Source organism: Homo sapiens, chromosome 16 (genome assembly GCF_000001405.40).
Source record: "Homo sapiens chromosome 16, GRCh38.p14 Primary Assembly".
Lineage (NCBI taxonomy): Eukaryota > Metazoa > Chordata > Mammalia > Primates > Hominidae > Homo > Homo sapiens.
In genome coordinates, this window is record NC_000016.10 from 10,631,369 (window position 1) to 10,655,888 (window position 24,520).

General features: G+C 48.3%; 1 protein-coding gene across 1 annotated transcript in view, besides 1 other annotated feature; it reads right to left on the reverse strand.

Moving 5' to 3' along the window:
- TEKT5 (tektin 5) overlaps positions 1–24,520 on the reverse strand; it is a 67,430-nt gene that overhangs the window by 3,868 nt on the left and 39,042 nt on the right. The window contains exon 6 of the mRNA NM_144674.2: positions 4,396–4,550. Coding sequence (NP_653275.1) covers positions 4,396–4,550 — 155 coding nt within the window. The remainder of the gene's footprint in view (positions 1–4,395; positions 4,551–24,520) is intronic.
- Positions 4,246–4,305: an enhancer, noted in NCBI's record as "active region_10384". NCBI's record gives its function as "activates an Ori minimal core promoter by ATAC-STARR-seq in GM12878 lymphoblastoid cells {active_cell/tissue: GM12878}" and the evidence as "EXISTENCE:reporter gene assay evidence [ECO:0000049][PMID:35858748]".

Below are 24,520 nucleotides of genomic sequence, written 5' to 3' on the forward strand. Positions count from 1 at the left end.
TGAAACAGGGGAATGGCATGCTGACTCGAGTTTCGGGATAACCTCCAGGCTGCTGTGTAAGATGAGATTGGAAGGGGGCAAGAGTAGAGGCAGGAGAAAGGTTAGGAGGTTATTGTGAATCCACATGGAGCGGATCGGGTGGTGTTCCTCAGAAAGATATGTTCAAGTCCTAAGCCCTGGTGCGTGTAATGTTATTAGGAAATAGGGTCTTTGCAGCTGTAATGAAGTTTAGGATCTTAAGATGAGATCATCCTGGATTTAGGGTGACACCTAAATCCAATGACTGATCTCCTGATAAGAGAAAGGAGAGGGAGGTTTGAGACATGGAGACATGCAGGAGAGAAGGCCATGTGGAGACGAAGGCAGAGATGGGAGCGATGCGGCTACAAGCTGAGGGACGCCAAGGATTGCTGACAGCCCTCCGGAGCTGGGAGAGTGGAAGGGAACAGAGCCTCTCTCAGAGCCTCCAGGAACAGCAACCTTGATTTGGGACTTCTGGCCCCCAAAGCTGTGAGGGAATAAACTTCTGTTGTCTGTAGCCACCCAGTTTGTAGTAATTTGTGATAGCAGCCCTGGGAAATGAATGCGGCAAGGTGAGCTGTGATGGTGGCTTGGTTGTGGGACTGTGCTGCGGGTCCCACCTCTGGGGAGAAGAGACAGTGAAACTGTGCTCAGGACCAGAGGACATGAAGCTGGGTGAACTTCCCCATGGGAAGCCTGGGCTAGAGAGAAGCAAAGAGAAGTGACAGAAGCAGCCTGGAAACTTCCACCAGCTCTGTCCAATAGAACTTTCTAGAGCAAGGGAGATATTCTGTGCTATGTTGTCTGATATGGTGAACCCTAGCCACATGTGGATACTGAGCCCTTGAAATGTGGTTATTGTGAATAAGGAATTGAATTTTTAACTTTATTTAATTTTCATTAAAATTCAGTTTATGGTTTTTTTTTTGACAGGGTGTTGCATTGTTCCCCAGGATGGAGTACAGTGGCACGATTATAGCTCACTGCAGCCTCCAACTTCTGTGCTTAAGCAATCTTCCTGCTTTAGCCTCCTAAGTAGCTTGGACTATAGGCATGCCACCATGCCTGGCTAATTTTTGTATTTTTTGTAGAGATGGGGTCTTGCTATGTTGTCCAGGCTCATCTCGAACTCCTGGCCTCATGTGATCCTCCCACCTCAGCCTCCCAAAGTGCTGGGGTTACAGGTCTGAACCACCACACCTAGCCTTTAAAGTTCAATTTTAAATGGACTTTCTTTCTGGGGGATAGGCATGGATGGGACCCTAGTGATTGGAGTAGGTCAGGAGAAGAGAGACCACTTATAGGAGGAAAAGGAAAAAGATGGCCCAAAGGCAGGAATGGAGAGGACGGGGACAAGGAAGATCATGCACAGATGGGACAATTTAGCCACTGGAGAAGGGAGACAGCCTGAATCCTATCATCTGCTCAATTCCGAAGACAGCCATGCATACAAACCAAAACACAACATACACAGATGCAGACACACACACACACACACACACACACACACACACACACACACACGGCCCGGCTCCTGAACCAAACATGCTCCACCTCCTTGCTTTCTGTCTGTCCTCCTCAGTGGTATGACTGTTGAACGGGAAACGGGAAGGCAGAGAGCTTGCCCCAAAGCAGTAGGTCCTCCAGGCAACTCCCCCAGAAGCCCTGTTCTGTAGAAGTCCCCTGGCGGGGCCGCCACTGTGGCTCATGCCTGTAATCCCAGCACTTTGGGAGGCCAAGGTGGCTGGATCACTTGAGGTTAGGAGTTTGAGACCAGCCTGACCAACATGGTGAAACCCTGACTCTACTAACAATACAAAAATTAGCCGAGCATGGTGGCAGGCGAGTGTAATCCCAGCTACTCGGGAGGCTGAGGCAGGAGAATCTCTTGAACCCGGGAGGTGGAGGTTGCAGTGAGCCAAGATCGTGCCACTGCACTCCAGCCTGGGCAACAGAGCAAGACTCAATTAAAAAAAAACTCTCGTTGGGGAGGCAAAGGGATCACCTGAGCCCTCCACTTCAGGAGGTACTGGGGTTCAGCCTGAGCATCGAAGAAGCAGGGGCAGAGGGAAGAGAGGTCAGCAGAGCCCAGCCCCCACTCTCCTGCACCCAGGACCTAGACCCTATCCATCTCACTTCCAGGGCTGAAGACCTAGCAAGCCAGCAGCAGGTCTGCTGGGTGTTGCTCTGTTGCCCAGGATGGAGTGCAATGGCGCAATCATAGCTCACTGCAGCCTCCAACTCCTGGGCTTAAGCAATCCTTCTGCCTCAGCCTCCTGAGTAGCTGGGACTACAGGTACATGTCACGATGCCTGGCTAAGTTTTGTATTTTATTTTTTAGAGATAGTGTCTTGCTGTGTTGTCCAGGCTGGTCTCAAACTCCTGGCCTCAAGTGATCCTCCTGCCTCGGCCTTCCAAAGTGGGAGGGACCCCAGACCCTCAAGTTCAAAGCCTTGGATCAATTTGCCTGCCCCTCCACCCCACCCCAACACATAACCTGCTTTTTCCATTTCCTAAATGGTTACTCAGGCGGTAACTGAGGCTGTGCAAAAATCATCGCTTGGGCACCACCCAACACTTTTTCTTGATTATCTATCCTCCTTCTCCTAACTGATAGCTCTCTTCTTGACATCTTTTCACATCTAGCAGTGGGGTCTCCACACCAGGATGGAGGGAGCAGGGTCCATCGCTGGACCAAGACCTGTGCTCCCTGCCCAGTGAAGCCCTGGCTTAGTGCTGTGTGACTGGGACAGCTTTTTCAACCTCTCTGGACCTCAATTTATCTTCCCATTTGACAACAGTAGGAGTAACTGACTTCCCAACTCCCCTAGGAGTGAGACTAAAGGGCAAAGAACTCAAAAGAAGTTCAAGGGATTGCAGTTAGCCATCAGGGTGAACTTCCCTTGCTGTAGGCTAGGGCTGAAATAATATGCCCAAGGAAGCCTGAGGATGGTCCTTTCAATCTTTTTCTCTTGGGGGATATCAACTCAGTATCTTGTCAAAAGAAGTACTGCTATGAAACCCGGTGAGCACAGCCCTGGGCACAGTGAATGCAGAATAAGGTTTATGGAGCAAATGAGCAGCTGAAATGGGGCCAGACTCAGTCTCTTCCCCCTCCACCGGAAACCCTGTTAGTGCCCATAGGAGGATGCTCCAAGGATGACCCTCAATGATGTGGGGTCCTCCTGGCATCACATCCTTGAGTGTGGACCTAGAGATGCTTCTAAAGAAGAGCATGCAGAAAGAGTGATGGACTGTCACTTCCATGGTTAGGTTACAAAAGACTGTGACATCCTTGTGGCTGGTACTGTCATTGTCCTTCTGGTTTGCATGCTTTGTTGAAGCAAGCCACCATGCTGGAGAGACCCATGGGTGAATGAGGGTGGCTGCCAGCCAACAGCCAGCAAAGAACTGAGTTCTACCAACAAGCATGGGAGTGAGCTTGGATGTGGAACCTTCCCCAGTCCAGCCTTGAGATAAGACCACAGCCCCAGCTGACAGCTTGATTGCAACCTGCGGAAGACCCTGACATGTACAACATAGCAAGGAACCTAGCCCAATTCCTAACCCACGGAAACTGAGATAACAAATGTGGTTCTTTCAAGTCACTACCTTTTGGGGTACTTTATTACACAGCAATAGACAACTAAGATAATGCCCCTAGCATGGGGAGAACAGAGTGGCCAAGTGGTTTGCCCCAAGTCATACAGCACGTTCATGGGAAATAATCCCCATATCTGATGACCTGTTCCTTCTTGGCCTGGCCATCATCCTATTACAATCCCCACCCCCCACCCCCCACAAACCTCCTTTCTGGGCTGGCATGAGCTTTTGACCCCTGTCCTGTGAGAAAGCCCTTCGTCAACAGACACCAGCCTCTTTAGCACAGCAGGATGGGTGGGATCCACCAGCCAGGAGCTCATGAGGCTCTTCCAGGGCTTCATGGTAAGAACTTTACAAAAAGGGAGGTGGGAAATGAGTGAGGAATGGGTGCCTCTTTCATGGAAGCCTGGAGAGAGAAGGTAAAGCCACCACCTGGGAGGCGACCATTCATTGCCTTGGCTTTCAAGTGAAACAAGAGGGTTTCTAGAGCACAACAGAGTTACAAAACCACCCCTAGTTTAGGCAAGTGAGAAGACCACAGTGCACAGGGTGGGGCTCCCAGTGATGAGGAAGCCACGCAGTGGTACAGCCCGAGCTGCATCTCAGAACTCCACCCACACCCTGCACTCTACTGAGTTGTGGGACTGGATGTCCTGATTGAAGGAGGGTCCATTTTTCAGACCCAGTGCACCTAGAAGCTCCTGAGACTCACCCCTTCCCGTTCCTGGATTCCCAGGGGTTCTCCTGCCTCCTCTGGCCTCCCTCACTTACTTCAACTGCGGGATGTCCCTGCACAGCTCCATGTTGGGGCGCCGGGTCCGGCACTCCAGCCTTGTCTGGGCCACCTTCAGCGGGCCCTCCTTGGCCATGATGGACCTTTCCAGCAGCATGATGGTGTTCTCGGCCTGGAAGATCTCCTGCAGCGTCTGCGAGGGAACACACAGGTGTCACCACCCACCAGGCCCTTCTGACCTCCTCTGACTGGGGGCCTGGGGGGAGCAAGTCAGCTAGGTCAGCCTCCAGCCAGGCACTTAAGATACTCCTTCCCCGGCCTTGAGCACCTTTAGGGCAGGAAGCTCACCCTTCCTAAGAAACCTTGAGGCTGGGCGCGGTGGCTCATGCCTGTAATCCCAGCACTTTGGGAGGCCGAGATGGGTGGATCACCTGAGGTCAGGGGTTCTAGATCAGCCTGGCCAACGTGGTGAAACCCCGTCTCTACTAAAAAAACAAAAATTAGCCGGGCGTGGTGGCAGGCGCCTGTAATCCCAGCTACTCGGGGGACCGAGGCAGGAGAATCGCTTGAACCCGGGAGGCGGAGGTTGCAGTGAGCTGAGATTGTGCCACCGCACTCCAGCCTGGGGGACAAGAGCGAGACTTTGTCTCAAAAAAAAAAAAAGGGTTAGAAACCCTGAGAAGCCGCTTCAGGTATCCTCTTGTCACCGGGGCACTGTGGACATGGAAGACGGGCCAGTATCATGGTTGGTTTTGTTCTGAACCTCCAATAGCCATTAGAGTTGCCAATCAGTGCTCAGCAGGAAGAAAGCAAAGTAAGGGAGTGAGGGAGAAGAAGAGGGAGAGGAAGGGAAGGAGGAAGGCAGGCCTTTCAGATTGACAGAGACTGTTAATCTGAAATAATCTCTAAGCCAATCTCTAAGCCAGTTTCACTTCATCTGGGTTTTTTCATATATACATACATACGTGTGTGTGTGTGTGTGTGTGTGTGTGTGTGTGTGTATTCAAACAGACTCAGAGTTTACCTTCTTAGTAATTACCTTCTTAATTACTAAGAAAGTAAACTCTGGATCTGTATGTATTTTCCATTATTATTATTATTATTATTTTGACAGGGAGTCTCGCTCTGTCGCCCAGGCTGGAGTGCAGTGCTGTGATCTGGGCTCACTGCAAACTCCGCCCCCCAAGTTCAAGTGATTCTCCTGCCTCAGTCTCCCAAGTAGCTGGGATTACAGGCACCTGCTGCCTCACCTGGCTGATTTTTTTTTTTTTTTTTTGACGGAGTCTCGCTCTGTCACCAGGGCTGGCGTGCAGTGGTGCGATTTCGGCTCACTGCAAACTCCGCCTCCGGGGTTCACGCCATTCTCCTGCCTCAGCCTCCAGAGTAGCTGGGATTACAGGTGCCTGCCACCATGCCTGGCTAATTTTTTTTTATATTTTTAGTAGAGACGGGGTTTCACCGTGTTACCCAGGATTGATTTTTGTATTTTTAGTACAGATGGGGTTTCGCCATGTTGGCCAGGCTTGTCTCAAACTCCTGACCTCAAGGGATCCACCTGCCTCGGCCTCCCAAAGTGCTGGGATTACACGCATGAGCCACCACACCCAGCCCGCTTTAAAAAAAAAAAAAATCCAGAGTTTACCCTCTTAATAACTAGATCAGTGAATAAAGAAGGAAGAAGGGAAGGATATAAGAATGCAAGAAGGGAGGGAGGGGAGGAGGAAGGAGGAGGGGAGAGGGGAGAGGAAGGGAGGGAGAAAGGAAGGCAAGAAGGAAGACAAAACTTTTTATCTGTCAAGATATTTTTCCCAATATGATGTCACCATTGTACCCTACAATTTATGAAAGTGCAGATCTCAGGGAGGGGCAGGCAAGAGCCTGCTAAGGTCTGAGAATGTTCTACATCTTGATCTGAAGGTTTCACAGATATAAACATAGATGAAAATTCATCTTCAAAATCCATCAAGCTGTAAGCTTTACTGACTGTGATGCCTCAACAGAAAATACAATGAAAATCAGAAAAAGTCAAATACAAGACGCGAGTGGTGAAATGTCAACATTTGTGTTGGGTACATGAAAGTCTTTCATTTATTTCATTTTTTTGAGACAGGGTCTTGCTCTGACACTCAGGCTGGAGTGCAGTTGCGCAATCGCAGCTTACCACAGCCTCGACCTCCAGGGCTCAAATGATCTTCCCGCCTCAGCCTGGCAAGTAACAGGGATTACAGTCACACACCACCACACCTGGCTAATTGTTTAATTTTTTTCAAGAGATTGGGGCTTGCTATGTTGCTCAGACTGGTCTCAAACTCCTGGGCTCAAGCAACCATCATGCCTCAACCTCCCAAAGTGCTGGGATTACAGGTGTGACCCACAGCACCTGGTGGGAGTCTTTTATATGATTCTCTCTACTTCTGTGTGTTTGAAACTTTCCACAACAAAAAATAAAAGAACGAGAGAATGAACAAAGAATGGGCTCAAAAGCCTATGCATTTATTCCAGAAGGAAGCTGTCCTTGCACTTGGCCAACCACAAACACCCGGAACTGAGACACTGGCACTAAACGATGTCACCTGACCGTGACTGAAACATCCACTCTCTACCCTATTGTCACCCAGTGGCCCTTGACCTGTGAGCAGTTCTGCTGGTCACGGTGTCCCTCTTCTGCGACAAGGCCCTTTGAGGACAGGCTGTCTTGACACCCCTTCCCAGACTCAGCAGGACACAATGGTGAGGTTGCATGTGCTCAGTCCCTGAGAAGCCTAGAAATGAGGCAGTGATGTCCTGCCATGATGGCCTTCAATGATCAGAAGGATGTGCCAGTGCAACTCATGATCATGAAGAGTTCGATTTCATTTGCCCAGACACTCCATACCACCTAAAGAAGCTATTCATCAGCTCCACCAGGAACATCTTCATGGGGTCACCTGCTAGAGATGCACCTGCTGTTCCATACAAGGGCATCTGCTTTGTGAATGTGACTGCTACCTTATACAAGACCACAGTGAGTCAACATCTTTGACCATTTCTACCCTGTTCACCATAATTAATGAAGAGGATAATTCAAAGAAACAACCAGTGAAGCCTTACTTGAAAGATTCATCATCAAAACCATGGAAGTCTGGGGAAAGAGACAGACAAGACTATGATGTAAAACAAAAAGTACTATCTGCAAGTGATGGGGGTAATTAATTCAACATTTGTTCAATACCGTCTACCTTTTCCATTTTAGACTAGTGATAAGTGACAATGATTTACAACATAAGGGTCCCAAAGGCACCTTCAAATCATACTCAAGTTTGGGTGCAGTGGCTCACACCTGTAATCCCAACATTTTGGGAGGCCAAAGTGGTGGAATCACTTGAGCCCAGGAGTTTGAGACCAGCCTGGCCAACAGAGCAAGACCTTATCTCTACAAAATAATTTTAAAAGTTAGCCAGGCATGGTGGTGCACGTTTGTAGTCCCAGCTACTTGGGAGGCTGAGGATGGAGAACTGTTTGAGCCCAGGAGTTCAAGGTTGCAGTGAGCTATGATCGCACCACTGCACTCCAGCCTGGAGTCCAAAAAACAAAAACCCTATCTCCAAAAAACAAAAAACAAAAAACCCAAACAGTTGTACATTCCAATATATTCTCCATCCACACACTCACACACCAGAGACAGATTGGGAATAATAGGAGTGCTGAATTGGAAATTAGACCACCAGGGGCCAAATCTTGGTATCACCACTATACCTAAAAGACCTATACCTATAAGACCTTGGGCATCCATGTCCTTAAATGGAGGTGATAAAAGTGCCCTCCCATCAAGTGTGTGACAAGAAAAAAATGGAATACTGCATGTGCAGCTTTCCAAGAGTCCCTAGCACATACTAAGTGCTCATCAGAGGTCAGCTATTCCAGTGCTCACAGTCTATTTTTCAAATAAGACACCAATACATTGAAATACCATTGTTTCCAAGAAGCCTCATCCCATCCTCCCAATTGAAACAAATCACATCTCTGGCATAAGCAAAGGTTTGTGTCTCCACTAACACACCTCAGACAGACTGGTTCACAGCAGGGTAGGTTGGGTCCCCCAATCAGAGTGTGAGCCACTCCTGGGGAGGGTCCAGGCCCACCTGTCCCCTTCTGTGTCCCCTCTGCATCTGCATCCTAGTGCCTGCTCCCAGATCTGCCTTGGGACTGGAGGCTGGCACTGCCTCACAGTCTGATCTCCCACCAGCCCACCCCTAAAGCTTATGCATGCTTCTTCTTTCTTCTTTTTCTTCCTCCTCTTCCTCCTCCTCAGTCTTTCTCTTCCCCTTCTCCTTCTTTCTCTTCCTCCTCCTCCTCCTTTTTCTTTCTCCTTCTTCTCCTTCCTTCCTTCCCTCTCCCCTCCTCCCGTCTTCCTCCTCCCCCCTTCCTCCTCCCCCTTTCTTCCCCTCCTCCTCCTCCGTGTGACAGGGTCTCTGTTGCTCAGATTGAAGAGCAGTGGCAGGATCATGGCTCACTGCAACCTCTGCCTCCCGGGCTCCAGTGATCCTCTCACCTCAGCTTCCTCAGTAGCTGGGACTACAGGTGCCTGCCACCACACTCAGCTAACTTTCTGTTGCCCAGGCTGGTCTCAAACTCCTGACCTAAAGTGATCCTGCCGCCTCAACCTCTTGAAGCACTGAGAATACAGGCATGTGAGCCGCCATGACTGGTCTGTACGTGACTTTTTAAAAAATAGATTTTTTTAAGCTTTACAGCTTTGTTGAGGCATAGTTGATATACAATAAATTACACGTTTAATGTTTACAATTAGCTGAGGTTTGACTTATGTATATACCCATGAAATCATCACCATAATCAAGATAGTGAATGAATCCATCACTCCCAAAGGTTTCTGTATACCGCTTTACAATCCATCTCTCCTGCCTCCGCCTACCCTAGGCAACCACTGATCATAGATAAACACTTCTGTCACGGTGCATTAGTTTGCCTTTCTAGCATCAGAATCTGACAGTATATATATATTTGTTTTTGGAGGGAGGGGGTTCTGGCTTCTTCACTCAGCATAATTATTTTGAGAATTATTCATGTTGTTGTGTGTATCAATGATCTGTTTCATTTCATTGCACAATATTCCACCATATAGCTAGACCACAATTTTCATCTAGCCACCTGTTCATGGACATGTGGGTTGTTTCCACTTTGGGGCTATTACAAATAAGAGCTGCTATGAATATTTGTATCTGAGTCTTTGGGGAGATGTATACTTTATTTCTTTTGGGTAAATGCCTAGGAGTGGAATAGCTGGATCATAGAATAGGTCAATGTTTCACTTTTTTAGAAACTGTCAAAGTTTTCCCCCAGGTTTCTTGTTTTCATTCCCACCAGCAGTATTCACGACTGCCAGTTGCTCCCCACCTTCGTCAACACTTAGTGTGGTCAGTCTTTTTAATTTCAGCCATTCTCATGAACATGTAGTGGTATATTATGGTTTTAATTTGCATTGTGCTTGTCTCTTTGAAGAGCAAGTCTTCAGAGAAGCATGTGGATTAGCCCAGGTGGTACAGGTGGACAGGCAGGTTGTGGTGGGGCCTGAGGGGTGAGCATCAGAGATGATATTAACCGAAAGAGGCTCCTATCCCCACACTCTCCTCCCATGGTCCCCAAGCACCAGCCACTGAGACGTTACAGCCAAGAGGGGCCTGGTATTTCCAAGGGAGAGGAAAATACCACTCCTCATCTCCCAATACACTTAGGTGATTATAAGCAGGCACTAGAAACCCCTAAATTCCCCAGACCCTACCATGTTTGGAGTTGGGCAGTAATATCACATAGAGGCCTGGCGTGGTAGCTCATGCCTATAATTGCAGCACTTTGGGAGGATGAGGTGGGAGGATCACTTGAGTCCAGGAGTTTGAGACCAGACTGGGGCAACATAGTGAGACCTTGTCTCCACGAAAAATAGACAAAATTAGCCAGGCATGGTGATGCGCGCCTGTAGTCCCAGCTACAAGGGAGGCTGAGGCAGGAGCATCACCTGAGCATGAGAGGTTGAGGCTGCAGTGAACTGAGATCACGCCACTGCACCCCAGCCTGGGTGACAGAGTGAGACACTGTCTAATAAATAAATAATCACATGAAAGGAGGAGAAAGGGATCCTGTCCCTTGAACATCTCAACTGGAATTAGGCAAAGCCTTCACAACTTCTAGCACGAGACTAGCTCCAAAGAACAGTCGCAGAGAGCGACAAGCTCTGAAGAAGCTCAGTTCAGGCAATTCCTTGAAATCTCTCTTCCTGTTAAAAGCTAAGGGGCTGGCCGCAGGCTGGCAGGGCTGAGACATGACAGAGCTACTGATATTCACCCAAACCAATCTGGATCGCTGTGCCGTGCCCCTGGCCAAATCTCTTGCAGTATGAGTACATGACACATGTCTTATCTTTTGTGTTCTAGAGCTTTGATATCTGAGGCCTTGCTGACCCTAGAGGCACTAGCCCTCCCAGGGTTAGCCAGTGATAACCTAGCGATAAGCAGACAAGTCACCCTGGAGCACACTCTTCAAATGCAAAGCAACCAACCTAGAGCCCATAGTCCAACCACCTCCTTTACTGGGCATTCACTGTCCACCAGGCCACAGTACACCTGCTCTAATCACCCCAGGCCAGGTACTATTCAACTAGGGACAGTCCCTCTCCCCCAGAGCCCACTGAAATGATCCTCATTAGCCATTCCTAAGCCTCTTACCCTGCCCCACCCTGTCCTTCCCATGGAAACCATAACAAAGGCTCCTGCCCACGTTTCTCCCCCTCCCTCCCTCCTTCCTGAGCCACCCCAGTGCTCCCCCTGTGGACCCCTGTGGTGTGGAATGCCCCCTCTTCTTGGGAACTATCTTTCTGATGGTGATCATCTGTTGATCTGTTGCCCTTAGTCTGGCTTCTTTTACTTAGCCTATTGTAAGAATCATTCACATTGTTGTGTCACTGGTCTGTTTCACTTTACTGTTCAATATTCCACCTTAGAAGTAAACCAGGGGCAGAAAGTTAAACACCACATGCTCTCACTCATATGCAGAAGCTAAAGTGTTGATCTCATAGAAGTAAACAGTAGAACAGAGGATACTACAGGCTGGGAAGGGGAAGGGAAAGGGTGGGGGATAGAGAGTGAGTTCTTAAAGGATACAAAGTTACAGCGAGGTGGGAGGAATAAGTTCCAGTGTTTTATGCCACTGTAGGATGACTGAAACATAAGTTCCAAATAGCTAGAAGGCGGATAGTGGATGTTCCCAACACAAAGAAATGATGTTTGAGATGACGGAAATGCAAGTTACCCTGATCACTACACATGGTGTGCGTCAAAACATACGCACAATTACTGTGTCAATTTAAAAAATAAAACAAAGGCTGGGCATGGTGGCTCATGCCTGTAATCCCAGCACTTTGGGATGCCGAGGCAGGAGAATCACTTGACGCCAGGAGTTTGAGACCAGCCTGGGCAACACAGTGAGACCCCATCTCTAAAAAAAAAAAAAATTTTCTGGGCCTGGTAGCTGATGTCTATAGTCCTAGCTAGTCAGAAGGCTGAGGTGAGAGGATGGCTTGAGCCTATGAGTTTGAGGCTCTAGTGAGCTGTGATGGCACCATTGCACTGCAGGCTGGGCGACAGAGCGAGACTCCGTCTCTTAAAAAAAAAAAAAGTAAAATATAAATATAAAAAAATTTACTGTATGATTATACCTCAAAATTTCCACTAATACACTGTGTTTTAAAACAATGAGGCCAGCTCTTCACATACTATTCATGCTATAGCCTGTGCTGTCCAACATGAGGCCGAGGGCCACATATGGCTGTTAAGCCCTTGAATGTGGCTAGTGCAAATTGAGATGAGCCGTAAGTAAGCACGTAACATGCACCAGATTTTGAAGACTTAGCACAAGAAAAATGTTATAAAATATCTCTGCAATAATTTTTATATTGACAACATGTAAAAATAACACTTTGGTATATTATTATCAAAGTATTATGCATTACATAAAACATATTATTAAAATCAATTTCACGCCGGGCGGGGTGGCTCACGCCTGTTTTACCAGCACTTTGGGAGGCCAAGACAGGTGGATCACCTGAGGTCAGAAGTTCCAGACCAGCCTGGGCCACATAGTGAGACCCCCGTCTCTACTAAAAATAGAAAAAAAATTAGCCAGATGTGGTGGCAGGCGCCTGTAATCCCAACTACGCGGGAGGCTGAGGCAGGAGAATTGCTTGAACCCGGGAGGAGGAGGTTGCAGTGAACCGAGGTCGCACCATCGCACTCCAGACTGGGCAACAAGAGCAAAACTCTGCCTCAAAAAATAAATAAAATAACATAAAATCAATTTCACATTTTTCGCTTTTTCAAGCAGCTACTAGACACTTTAAAGTTACACAAGGGGCTTGCACTGTATTTCTAATGGATGGCACTAGTCGAGACCCTGCTGAGCGTTTTTCAGTTTACAAAGTCCTTTCCCATCTTTTACGTCATTTGATACCCACAACTGCCCTGTGAGAAAGTGAGTCAGTGACTACTATTCCCATTGCACATATGAAGTCAACTGAGGCCCAGAGAGGAGCTGTAAACAGCTAAGTGCATCATCAGAGGTGGACATGAGGCTTGAAACCCTAAAGTCATTTTTCTCAAAGTGGCGTTCGCAGATCCCCACATCGGATTCTTCCAGAATGGCTTATTATCTATGCAGATCCTTGAGCCCTACACACTTACTGCATCCAAATCTCACCTCTCCAGGTCCTTGCTTAAATGTCACCTCCAAAGAAAGAGCTTCCCTGTCTACTCTATTCAAAACGGACAGCCACCTCCATCACTGCACCCCTCACCTGGCTTCCCCCTTTCTTCCTGGATCTATTTGTCTGCATGAATCAGTTTGTCTCCAGACCCTATGGGGGCACCAGGAAATGGCTTCCTGACTATAACATAAGCTATCAGAAATCAGGGGCTGTGTTTTGTTCACACTGTTCTCCTATCGCCTAGAACAGTGTTTGGTGCAGCATTAGGGTTACCAGTTAAACTATAGGACTCCCAGTTAAATTTGAATTTCATATAAACAACAAAGCACTTTCTCGTGTATGTTCTGTAATGGACTGCCTGAATGTCTGTGTTCCCCCAAAATTCCTATATTGAAAGCTTAATCTGTCCCAGTGTGCTGGAGGTGGGGCCTCTGAGAGGCGATTAGGTGATGAGGTGGAGCTCTCATGAATGGGATTAGTGCCTTTATAAGAAGAGGCTACTTTACTCTCTTTCTGCCAGGTGAAGAAATACAAAGGCTGTCTACAACCCGGAAGAGGGCCCTCACCAGAACCCGATCATGCTGGCACCCTGACCTTGGACTTTTAGCCTCCAGAACTGTGAGAAATAAATTTTGATGTTTACAAACCACCTAGCCTATGGTGGTACTTGGTTATAGTAGCATGAATGCAAGGAGGCAAGCCCCCCCAGTTATTGCATGAGACATACTGATGTTAAAACATGATTTGTAGGTCAGGCACAATGGCTCACACCTATAATCCTAAACACTTTGAGAGGCTGAGGTGGGAGGATTGCTTGAGCCCAGGAGTTCGAGACCAGCCTGGGCAACATAGTGAAAACCCATCTCTACAAAAAATACAAAAAAATTAGTCAGGTGTGGTGGTTTGCACCTGTGGTCCCAGCTACTCAGGAGGCTGAGGTGGGAGGACTGCCTGACCCCAGGAGGTGAAGGCTGCAGTGAGCCGTGATGCACCACTGCACTCCAGCCTGGGCAGCAGAGCAAGATCCTATATAATAATAATTTGGCCAGGCACAGTGGCTCACGCCTGTAATCCCAGCACTTTGGGAGGCCAAAGCAGGCAGATCACCTGAGGAGAGGAGTTCAAAACCAGCCTGGCCAACATGGTAAAATCCCATCTCTGCTAAAAATACAAAAATTGGCCAGACATGGTGGCAAGCACCTGTAATTCCAGCTACTGGGAGGCTGAGACAGGAAAATCGCTTGAACCTGGGAGGCGGAGGTTGCAGGGAGCCAAGATCACACCATTGCACTGGACTGCAAGACTGGGCAACAAGAGTGAAACTCTGTCTCAAAAACTAAATAAAATTTAAAAAATATAATAATTTGTTGGCTGGCCATAGTGTCTTAGTGCCTGTAATTCCAGCACTTTGCGGGGCACTGAGGTGGGAGGATCGCTTGAGCCAAGGAGTTTGAGACCAGCCTGGGCAATATAGTGAGACCCCATCTCTACAGAAAAAAAAGAAAAACTGGCCAGGCATATAGTGCACATCTGTAATCCCAGCTACTTGGGAGGCTGAGGAAGGATTGCTTGAGCCCAGAAGGTCGAGGTCGCACTCAGCTATGATCACAACACTGTACTGCATTCTAGCCTGGCCAACAGAGTAAGACTCTGTCTCAAAAAAAAAAAAAAATTTGTTGATCTGACATTCAAGTTTAAATGGACATCCTGTATTTGTCTTTGCTAAATCTGGAAACCCTACTTATGGTAGTAGCTCAATAAACATCAATTGAATGAATGAATCACAGTGGGATCTGGAAATCTAGATTTTTAACCAGCTTCCCCCCAGTGACTCTTGTGCACACTCAAATTTGGGAACAACCTGCCCTACAAATTATAGAATCCTGCCCATCTCGGATTTTAAGATAGGGGAAAACTGATTACACAGTAAATTGCTCCTGAATGAGGTGGGATTGCAAGTATAACACCCAGTCCCTGCCTTCAAGGATTTTACAGTCACTTTGCTTTTTTTCCTTTCTCATAAGCTGTAAAACATTCACACATCTTAATATGCAAGGAATGACTGAATGAGGTTGGGCCCATAACCTATGGGCACCAAGAAATTGCTTAAAACAGAATTTTTTTTTTCAAAGAATCAAAGTCCTGGCTTCTGTATTAGCTTAAGAAAAAATCCAGGAAAAATAGATAGCAGTTTGCTCCCTAAAGAGGACAAAAGGATGCCTGTTTCCTACTGGTGGAGTCAAGACGAGAAGCTGGGTTATGGGAGGGCAAGGAGGCCCAGCCTCCTCCAGAGCCCACCTAGGAAGGAGGCCAGCCCTTCACCTGGTCCTCTGTGAGCCACAGCAACTCAGCCCACACGCTGGTTAAACATTATCCCATAAGAATGTTCTGTGCCCAGAATGTGAGTGGCATATAAACACTCAATGCGGCAACACCTCTCTTGGAAGCCCTGGGGATTTTCTTCAGAAACCTCCCCTTTGTGGGGGCAGTGGGTGGGATGTACAACCCTTAGAATGCACCACTTCAGCCCAGCGCAGAAGAAAATAAAGCCTTATATAGATGAAAAATGCTCCTTGGTGCCACTTTGCCCAGTGTTTGCCCTGTCATGGAAAACAGCCCCTACCATCTAGGCGTCCCTACTTGAAGAGCCTATTGCTGGGGTGGACGGGACATTACTGAGGGTTCAGCGGGTGATAAGAAGCTGCCAGTGGGCTGGGCGCGGTGGCTGACAACTGTGGTCCCAGCACTTTGGGAGGCTGAGGCAGGCAGATTGCTTGAGTCCAGGAATTCGACCAGCTTGGGTAGCATGGTGAGACCCTGTCTCTACAAAAAATTTAAAAAAAAATAAGCCGGGCGTGGTGGTGCACACCGGCGGTCCCAGCTACTCAGGAGGCTGAGGCAGGAGGATCGCTTAAGCCTGGGATGTCGAGGCTGCAGTGAGCTGTGATGACGCCACTGCACCCCAGCCTGGGTGACAGAGTGGGACCCTGTCTCAAAAAAAAAAAAAAAAAGCAGCAGCCACCTGTGGTACGCGCCTTCCTGGCCCCACCCTGAGCCCATCCAGGGCAGCTCCCAGGATGCTCCCCTCCACCAGTAGGTGCTGTTGCTAGGGAAATCTAGAGATGCCTCAGGCCAGAGACCTGAGCCCACCTTGTCTCTTTCTTTGTTCACTTTCTCCATTTCCTGGTCACCATGCTTAGGGCTCAGTCAGCCTGTGATGGGGACCTGAAACTTTACAAAAGGCCTGTCTCCTGGGTCTGGGAAAGGAAGAGCTAATACTCATTCATAAGCTCAATCTTTTCTTCATTCATTCATTCATCCACAGAGTCATTGATTCATATGTCAGTGCAACAAATGTTCGTTGAGCACCTACTTAGTGCCAAGCACTGTTCTAGGCAGTGGATCCGAGTAACCACAACAGCTGGAAAACCCTGTCCTTGTGGAGTGGACATTCTGCTGGACTTTACACTCTGTTGTTTGCTTTTTTACACAACAATCACTTGTTGAGCACATACGAGTACTGGCTACAAGTGAGACAAATGGTCACTGTCAGCATCACAGAACTCAAGTCCCTCCCACCTCCTGTTAAAAATATTTATTAAATGCCTTTGATGTACAGCACATGGGTGGGGGACAGGGCCACAAAAAAAGGCACCATGTCAGTTCTCCTGGAATTCCTGTGTAAGCAGAGGAACAAGGGCACAGGCACACACAACCATTTATCAAGAGTTTACTCCAGGCCAGGTCCTGCGCCAAGACTCTTACATGAATCATCTCATTATAGAACCAAACCAATCCTATGCAGAAGGTTCTAGCAACATTCCCTGGCTTTTATTTTTATTTATCATTTTTTTTTTTGAGACAGAGTCTTGCTGTGTTACCCAGGCTGGAATGCAGTGGAGTGATCTCGGCTCACTGCAACCTCCGCCTCCCAGGGTCAAGTGATTCTCCTGCCTCAGCCTCCTGAGTAGCTGGGACACAGGCATGTGCTACCACATCTGGCTGATTTTTGTATTTATTTATTTATTTTTGTTAGTAGAGACAGGGTTTTGCCATGTTGGCCAGGCTGGTCTCGAACTCCCGGCCTCGAGTGATCCGCCTATCTCGGCCTCCCAAAGTGCTGGGATTACAGGCATGAGCCACCACGCCCTGCCTGCATCCCCTGGTTTTTAGATAAGAGAAATGAGACAGTTACCTCCTTGTCAATTCTCTTTCAAACCTGCTGACCATTTCCAGGCATGAGGCCCCACGTGGTGCCAGCCTATCTTTGTCTCTCTAGCCCTTGGCCATCTTGCATGGTTCACAAAGAGCAGCTTCAGCATTGAGCAGTTTCTGCAGGCCACAGGCTCAGACTGCATTTGAATGGTTGGCTCTGCTTCCCTTATATTTATTTTCTAGCTACCCTCTGCTTACAGCAAGTGCTGATGGTTTTGCATTTATTGAAGAGACCTGAAGTTTCTCTTTTATTTTCATTTTTAATTTTATTTTTAGAGACAAGTTCTCTCTCTGTTGCCCAGGCTGGAGTGCAATGGCATGATCATGGCTCACTGCAACCTTAAACTCCCGGGCTCAAGTGATCCTTCTGCCTCAGCCACCTGAGTAACTGGTACTACAGGTGCATGCCACCATACCTGGCTATTTATTTTTATTTTGTTTGTAGAAATTGGATCTCACTATGTTGCCTAGGCTGGAGTGCAGTGGCACTATCATATCTCACTGCAGCCTAGAACTCCTGGGCTCAGGTGATGTTCCCAACCCAGTCTCCTATGTAGCTGGCATTACAAGTGTGTGCCACCATGCCTGGCTAATTTTTTGTAGAGATGGGGTCTTGCTATGTTGCCCAGGCTGGTCTTGAACTCCTAGCCTCAAGCCATCCTCCTGCCTCAGCCTCCCAAAGTTCTGGGATTATAGGCATGAACCAATGCACTCCGCTGTGTCTCTTTTAAATTATTATTTTTTTAATTTTCTTTTTCTTTTTAACACAGGTTCTCTGTCACCCAGGCTGGAGTGCAGTGGCTCAATTTCTCCTCACTGCAGCCTCGACCTTCCAGGCCTCAAGTGATCCTCCCACCTCAGCCTCCTGAGTAGCTAGGACTACAGACGTACACCACCATGCTTGGCTAGTTTTTGTATTTTTTTGTAGAGACTGGGTCTCCCCAAGTTGCCCAGGCTAGTCTTGAACTCTGGGCCTCAAGTGATCCTCCCACACTGGCCTCCTAAAGTGCCGGGATTACAAGTATGAGCCACTGCACTCGGCCTATTTTTTGAAATTTTTAGGTGACTCAGTTTAAATAGAAATACAAAATCAGTAATGGTCCAGGTGGCACACGAATATGGTAAAATTGAGAACATGGCATTCCTGCGCTTGGTACGTAGATAATGCAGGTGAGAGAGAATTGAAGCAGAGCTAGGAGGAGGACACTGAGGGGCAGGGACCCTGCTCCTACGGAGCCTGTTCCTACCCCATATCCTTCCCAGGTTGGAGACTGGAACTGACAGCTGCCTGTTTCTCCACCACCCCCAACCCCGTTCCACTTTCTTCCTCCCCCTGGTCTCCTCCCACTCCCCCTGCCATTTCTTTTTTTATTTTTATTTTTATTATTATTTTTTTTGAGACGAAGTCTTGCTCTATTGCCCACGCTGGAGTGCAGTGGCGCAATCTCGGCTCACTGCAACCTCCGCTTCCTGGGTTCAAGCAATTCTCCTGCCTCTGGGATTACAGGTGTGTGCGACAAGTAGCTGGGATTACAGTAGCTGGGATTACAGGTGTGTGCGACAAGGCCCGGCTGATTTTTGTATTTTTAGTGGAGACAGGGTTTCACCATGTTGGCCAAGCAGGTCTCGAACTCCTGACCTCAGGTGATCTGCCCACCTCGGCCTCCCAAAGTGCTGGGATTACAGGGGTGAGCCACTGTGCCCGGTCCCCCTCCCATATCTTTACGGGGCCTGTCTGCAGCTTTTCCAGAATTGGCTTCCCTAGAACCTATCGATGACTCACACCCAAGGCAAATCTGCCCATGTGGGTGTGCACTCTGCCAAAAAACATGCCCCTTAACATCTTGTCCAGACTCTGTCACTCAAGGCCAGGGTCATCTTCATTAGAAGGGAGGAAAAAAGCCACATCTGGCCAGGTGGGTGGCTCACGCCTGTAATCCCAGCACTTTGGGATGCCAAGGCAGGCGGATCATCTGAGGTCAGGAGTTCGAGACCAGCCTAGCCAACATGGTGACACCCCGTCTCTACTAAAAATACAAAAAATCAGCCAGGCGTGGTGGTGTGTGCCTGTAATCCCAGCTACTCAGGAGGCTGAGGCACAAGAATCACTTGAACCTGGGAGGCGGAGGTTACAGTGAGCAGAGATTGTGGCATTGCATTTCAGCCTGGGTGACAGAGTAAGACTCCATCTAAAAAAAAAAAAAAAGCCACACCCACTGTATCTGGGGGGCAGCCCCTGCTTGTGCACTAGAAACACTGGGGCACCATGACAGCTTCCAGAAGTTTGAGGAATGGGACTCCCAATGCCAGAGAGGCAGACGGCTGCATGGGCTGGCCAGGGGCAGGGGCTGGAGACAGAGCAGCCTGAAGCTTCATGCTGAGGAGGAAGCCCAGGGGACCGTCATCCTGAGCAGGAGGGACAGTTTAGTGACATGGTCTTTCTGCAGGGCAACCCAATGCAACAAGATCAAATCAGGGAGCTGCCGATTCACCTGGGATGCACCTCCCCAGGTATCCACATGCCTCATTCTCTCACCTCCTTCAGGCTAGGGCTAAAAAGCCAAGAAGGCCTTCCCTGACCATCCCAGTTTAAACTGCAGCCCTAACCAGCCAGCACCCCCAATCGCCTGCTTCTCTGCTTCATTTTCTCTCTAGCCCTTATCCCTGGCATACTGTATGTTTTACTCATTAATTTTGTTGTTAATTCCCCTAACTCAAAAGCAAGCTTTTCCTTTGGGAGGGGTTTTGGTCTGTTTTGCTCCCTTCTGAATTCCCAGTGCCTACACAGGATCAATGTCTGGAGCATAGTAAATAATAATGATGATGATAATAATAATATGTAACACTTAGCATACTGCTATTGTGTGCCAGGCACTTTTCCAAGGGCTTTGCATATATTAGTCAATTAGTGGGTGCTCAGCAAACACTGGCTCCCTGGATGGATAAATATACACCATGGAGTGTGCGTTAAAGACAAGGGTACACAGCCGGGTGTGGTGGCTCTCACCTGTAATCCCAGCACTTTGGGAGGCCGAGGTGGGAGGATCACCTGAGATCAGGGGTTCGAGACCAGCCTGACAAACATGGCGAAACCCCGTCTCTACTAAAAATACAAAAAAATTAGCCAGGTGTGGTGGCAGGTGCCTGTAATCCAAGCTACTTGAGAGGCTGAGGCAGAAGAATCACTTGAACCCGGGAGGCAGAGGTTGCAGTGAGCCAAGATGGCACTACTGCACTCCAGCCTGGGCAACAGAGCAAGACTCCATCTCAAAAAAATAAAAAAGACAAGAGGATAAGCATTGGCACCAGACTATCTAAATCCCAGCTCGAGCACATCCAAGCTGGGGGGCCTTGGGCCAATGTCCTATCCTCTCTGAGCCGTTCCACTACAGCAGGGATCATAATCATTCCTAGTCCATGGGCTGGAGGTGAGGTTTAGTGAGACAATCCAGCAATGCGATTAGCACAGGGTCTGGGAGACAGAACTCTCGAAAACCTTAGCAAGTATGGAACCCCTTCACTGCCTCGGCACACAGAGCTGGCAGACGCAGACACCCTTCTGGTCACAGAGCAAAGGTGGCATGCCCAGCTCTTCCCACAGTTCATGCTTTTCTCCCACACACTCTGAAAAATGCCAAAGGAAAGTCCTGCCCTCCCACTCTCTCCAGGCCAGGTAGAACTATCCCTTATATACTCAGGCAAAAACACACACACACACCCTCCAGGCCAGGTACAGCAATCCCTTATATACACAGGCAAACACACACACACACACACACACACACACACACACACACACACACCCTCCAGGCCAGGTAGAGCGATCCCTTATATACACAGGCAGACATACACACACACACACACACACCCCCTCCAGGCCAGGTAGAATGATCCCTTATATACACAGGCAGACACACACACACACACACACACACACACACACACACACCCTCCAGGCCAAGTAGAGCGATCCCTTATATACACAGGCAGACACACACACACACACACACACACACACACACACACACACACCCTCCAGGCCAGGTAGAGTGATCCCTTATATACACAGGCAAACACACACACACACACACACACACACACACCCTCCAGGCCAGGTAGAACGATCCCTTATATACACAGGCAGACACACACACACACACACACACACACACACACACCCTCCAGGTCAGGTAGAGCGATCCCTTATATACACAGGCAGAGACACACACACACACCCTCCCTCTCCAGGTCAGGTAGAACAATCTCTTATATACACAGGCAGAGACGCACACATGCACAGAGCTGGCATCTCTCTGCCCATCCCCCAAGCTCTGAGGGGCTTCCCCAGAGTCCCCACTGCAGGTCCCCTCCCCAGGGATGTTAACCTTCCTGTTCCCATGAAGTTGGAGGAATCTGGGGAAAAGAGGCTTCTGGGGCACAGCCTGGCATATCCTAGTGGCTGGGCAAGGCTGCTGGGGATTGGCTCAGGGGGTCACCCCATGGGAGGAGTCCTGGCATCCTGGGTCTGGCAGCCAGCCCTGCCTTCCCCGCCCAGCCCTGCCTGGGAGCTGGAACTCTGGTGGGAAGAGGGTGGTGGCGTAGACGGCTCACCTCACTCCCTTTCCCGCCCAAACTCTGTGCTTTGCATACAGTAGGCTGCCTGCCAGTGGAGATGAGGCAAGACTGGGGAGCAGGAGTCCTAAGCCTCCCATGTGCTGTACACCTGGGGACAGGTTACTTCACCTTCCTGAGCCTCTCTACAGTTGCACAGATGTAGGTTCAATTCCACTTCCTGCTGTGTGACCTTGCATGGATCACAACCTCTCTGTGCCTCATGCAATATGCATTCAACATCGATTGAGCCCTTTCTAGCTGCCAGACACTGTGTAGGACACTTGTTCTTTTGTCTGTAAAAACAGGCTTAATAATAACTTGCCCGGCCAGGTGTGGTGGCCTACGCTTGTAATCCAAACACTTTGGGAGGCCAAGGTGGGGAGATCACCTGAGGTTAGGAGTTCGAGACCAGCCTGGCCAACATGGTGAAACCCCGTCTCTACTAAAAACACAAAAATTAGCCAGGTATGGTGGCAGGAGCCTGTAATCTCAGCTATTTGGGAGGCTGAGGCAGGAGAGTCACTTGAACCTGGGAGGCAAAATTTGCAGTGAGCCGAGACCGAGCCATTGCACTCCAGCCTGGGCAATAAGAGTGAAACTCTGTCTCAAAACAAAAACAAAAACAAAAACAAAAGAAAAACACTTGCCCACAAGGTTACTGGGGGAACTAAGTAAAATTGTGTGTGTGTGAACGTGTGTGTGTGTGTGCATGTGTGTGTGTGTGCACATGTGTGTGTGTGGTGGCTGTTCTATCATTTTTTTGAGAGAGGTTCTCACACTGTTGTCCAGGATGAACTGCAGCGGCACTATTATGGCTCACTGCAGCCTCAACATCCCAGGCTCAAGGGATCCTCCCACTTCAGACTCCCGAGTTGCTGGAACTACAGGCACATGCTACCACATCCAGCTAATTTTTGTGTTTTTCACAGAGATGAGGTTTTCCCGCGTTGGCCAGGCTGATCTCAAACTCCTGGGCTCAAGCAATCCATCCACCTCAGCCTCCCAAAGTGCTGGGATTACAGATGTGAGCCACTGCACCCAGCCAGTGGTTAATTTTATATGTCAATTTGACTGGCTTGACTGGGTTAATTGTATATGTTAACTTAAAGGGACAGCCAGATAGCTGGTAAACCATTATTTTGAGGTGTGTCTGTGAAGGTGTTTCTGGAAGAAACTAACGTTTGAATTGATGAACTCTGCGGTCATGTCCAACGTAGGCAGGCATCACCCAACCCACTGAGGGTCCGAACAGAACAAAAAGGCAGAGGAAGGGTGAATTCGCTCTCTCTGCTTTAGCTGGGACATCCATCTTCTCCTACCCTTGGACATCAGAGTTGCTGGTTCAGACTCAGACGGAAGCTTACAGCCTCAGCCCCTGACTCTTAGACCTTAGGACTGGAACTCAATTACACCACCAGGTTTCCTGGGTCTCCAGCATGCAGACCACAGGTTGTGGGACTTCTCAGCCTCCATAACCTCACAAGCCAATTCCTACAACAAATCTCCTCTCAGATACATTTCTATATATCGTATTGCTTCTGTTTCTCTGGAGACCCTTAAAACAGTGTGTAAATTGCTTATTCCAGTGTCTGCCACCATGCCATGGACTGTCCTGTCTCCCCCCCCTCCCCTCCCCCACCCCCCCCCCCCAGTCTGTGACGAGATTTTTCACTTGGGATCATTGATTTTTTTGTTTTTTAATGTAAGACAATAGGAAATTCAGATTTGCTTGAAAGAATTTGTCTTTGCAGGCAACTTAAATTCTGTAAGGCAGGAAGAGAGACTTATTGCTGGAGAAAAAACTGCCTTTCCTAAAAAAACAATTGAGGACTACATTTATCCTTCAAGAACTGTTGTCTCTTTTACATACACACACATGCTGAACGGGTAACTCAAAAGCCCAATTACATAAACAATGTTGCCTTTACAAACAGCCTCCAACCATATTTACACGTTCTTATCGCTCCCAGTCTAAACGGAGGGAGTGTAGTCCATTAGGAAAAGTAGGACTTCAGAACCCACCGGAACTCCTGGTTCCAATCCCAGTTCCACTACTTACCCCCTATTCAACCTTGTAAAAATTACCTGATCTGTCTAAACCTCAGTATTTTTTTAAAATTATGAAATAATATTTTTAAGGCCTGCCATATAGGATTATTGTGAGGGTTATGTAAGATTATGTATGTTTATATGTTTGTGGCATTGTGGCTAGTTGACACATAGAAAGGGCAATATTAATACCCACTTCCTCTTAACCTGTGGAACACTATAAAAGACTACATTTTCCAGGCTCCCTTGTAGCTCCAGGCCATGTGACTAATTCTAGCCAGTGGAAAGGAATCAAAATGTTGTTTGGGACTCTTGGGAAGTCTCTTTTAAAAGGGGGTGGTTGTACCCTTCTCTTTCTCAGGTATCTTCCTGCTAGCTCAAACTTAAGATGTGATGGTGGAGCTCCAGCAGCCTCCTTGGACCATGAGGTCTAAGTGTGAAAAATAAATGCTTGGATGGTGAAGCAGAAAAATAGCAGCCTGGGCATCTGATGATACCATGAAGCCATCTTGCAACCCAAGATTTATTTTATG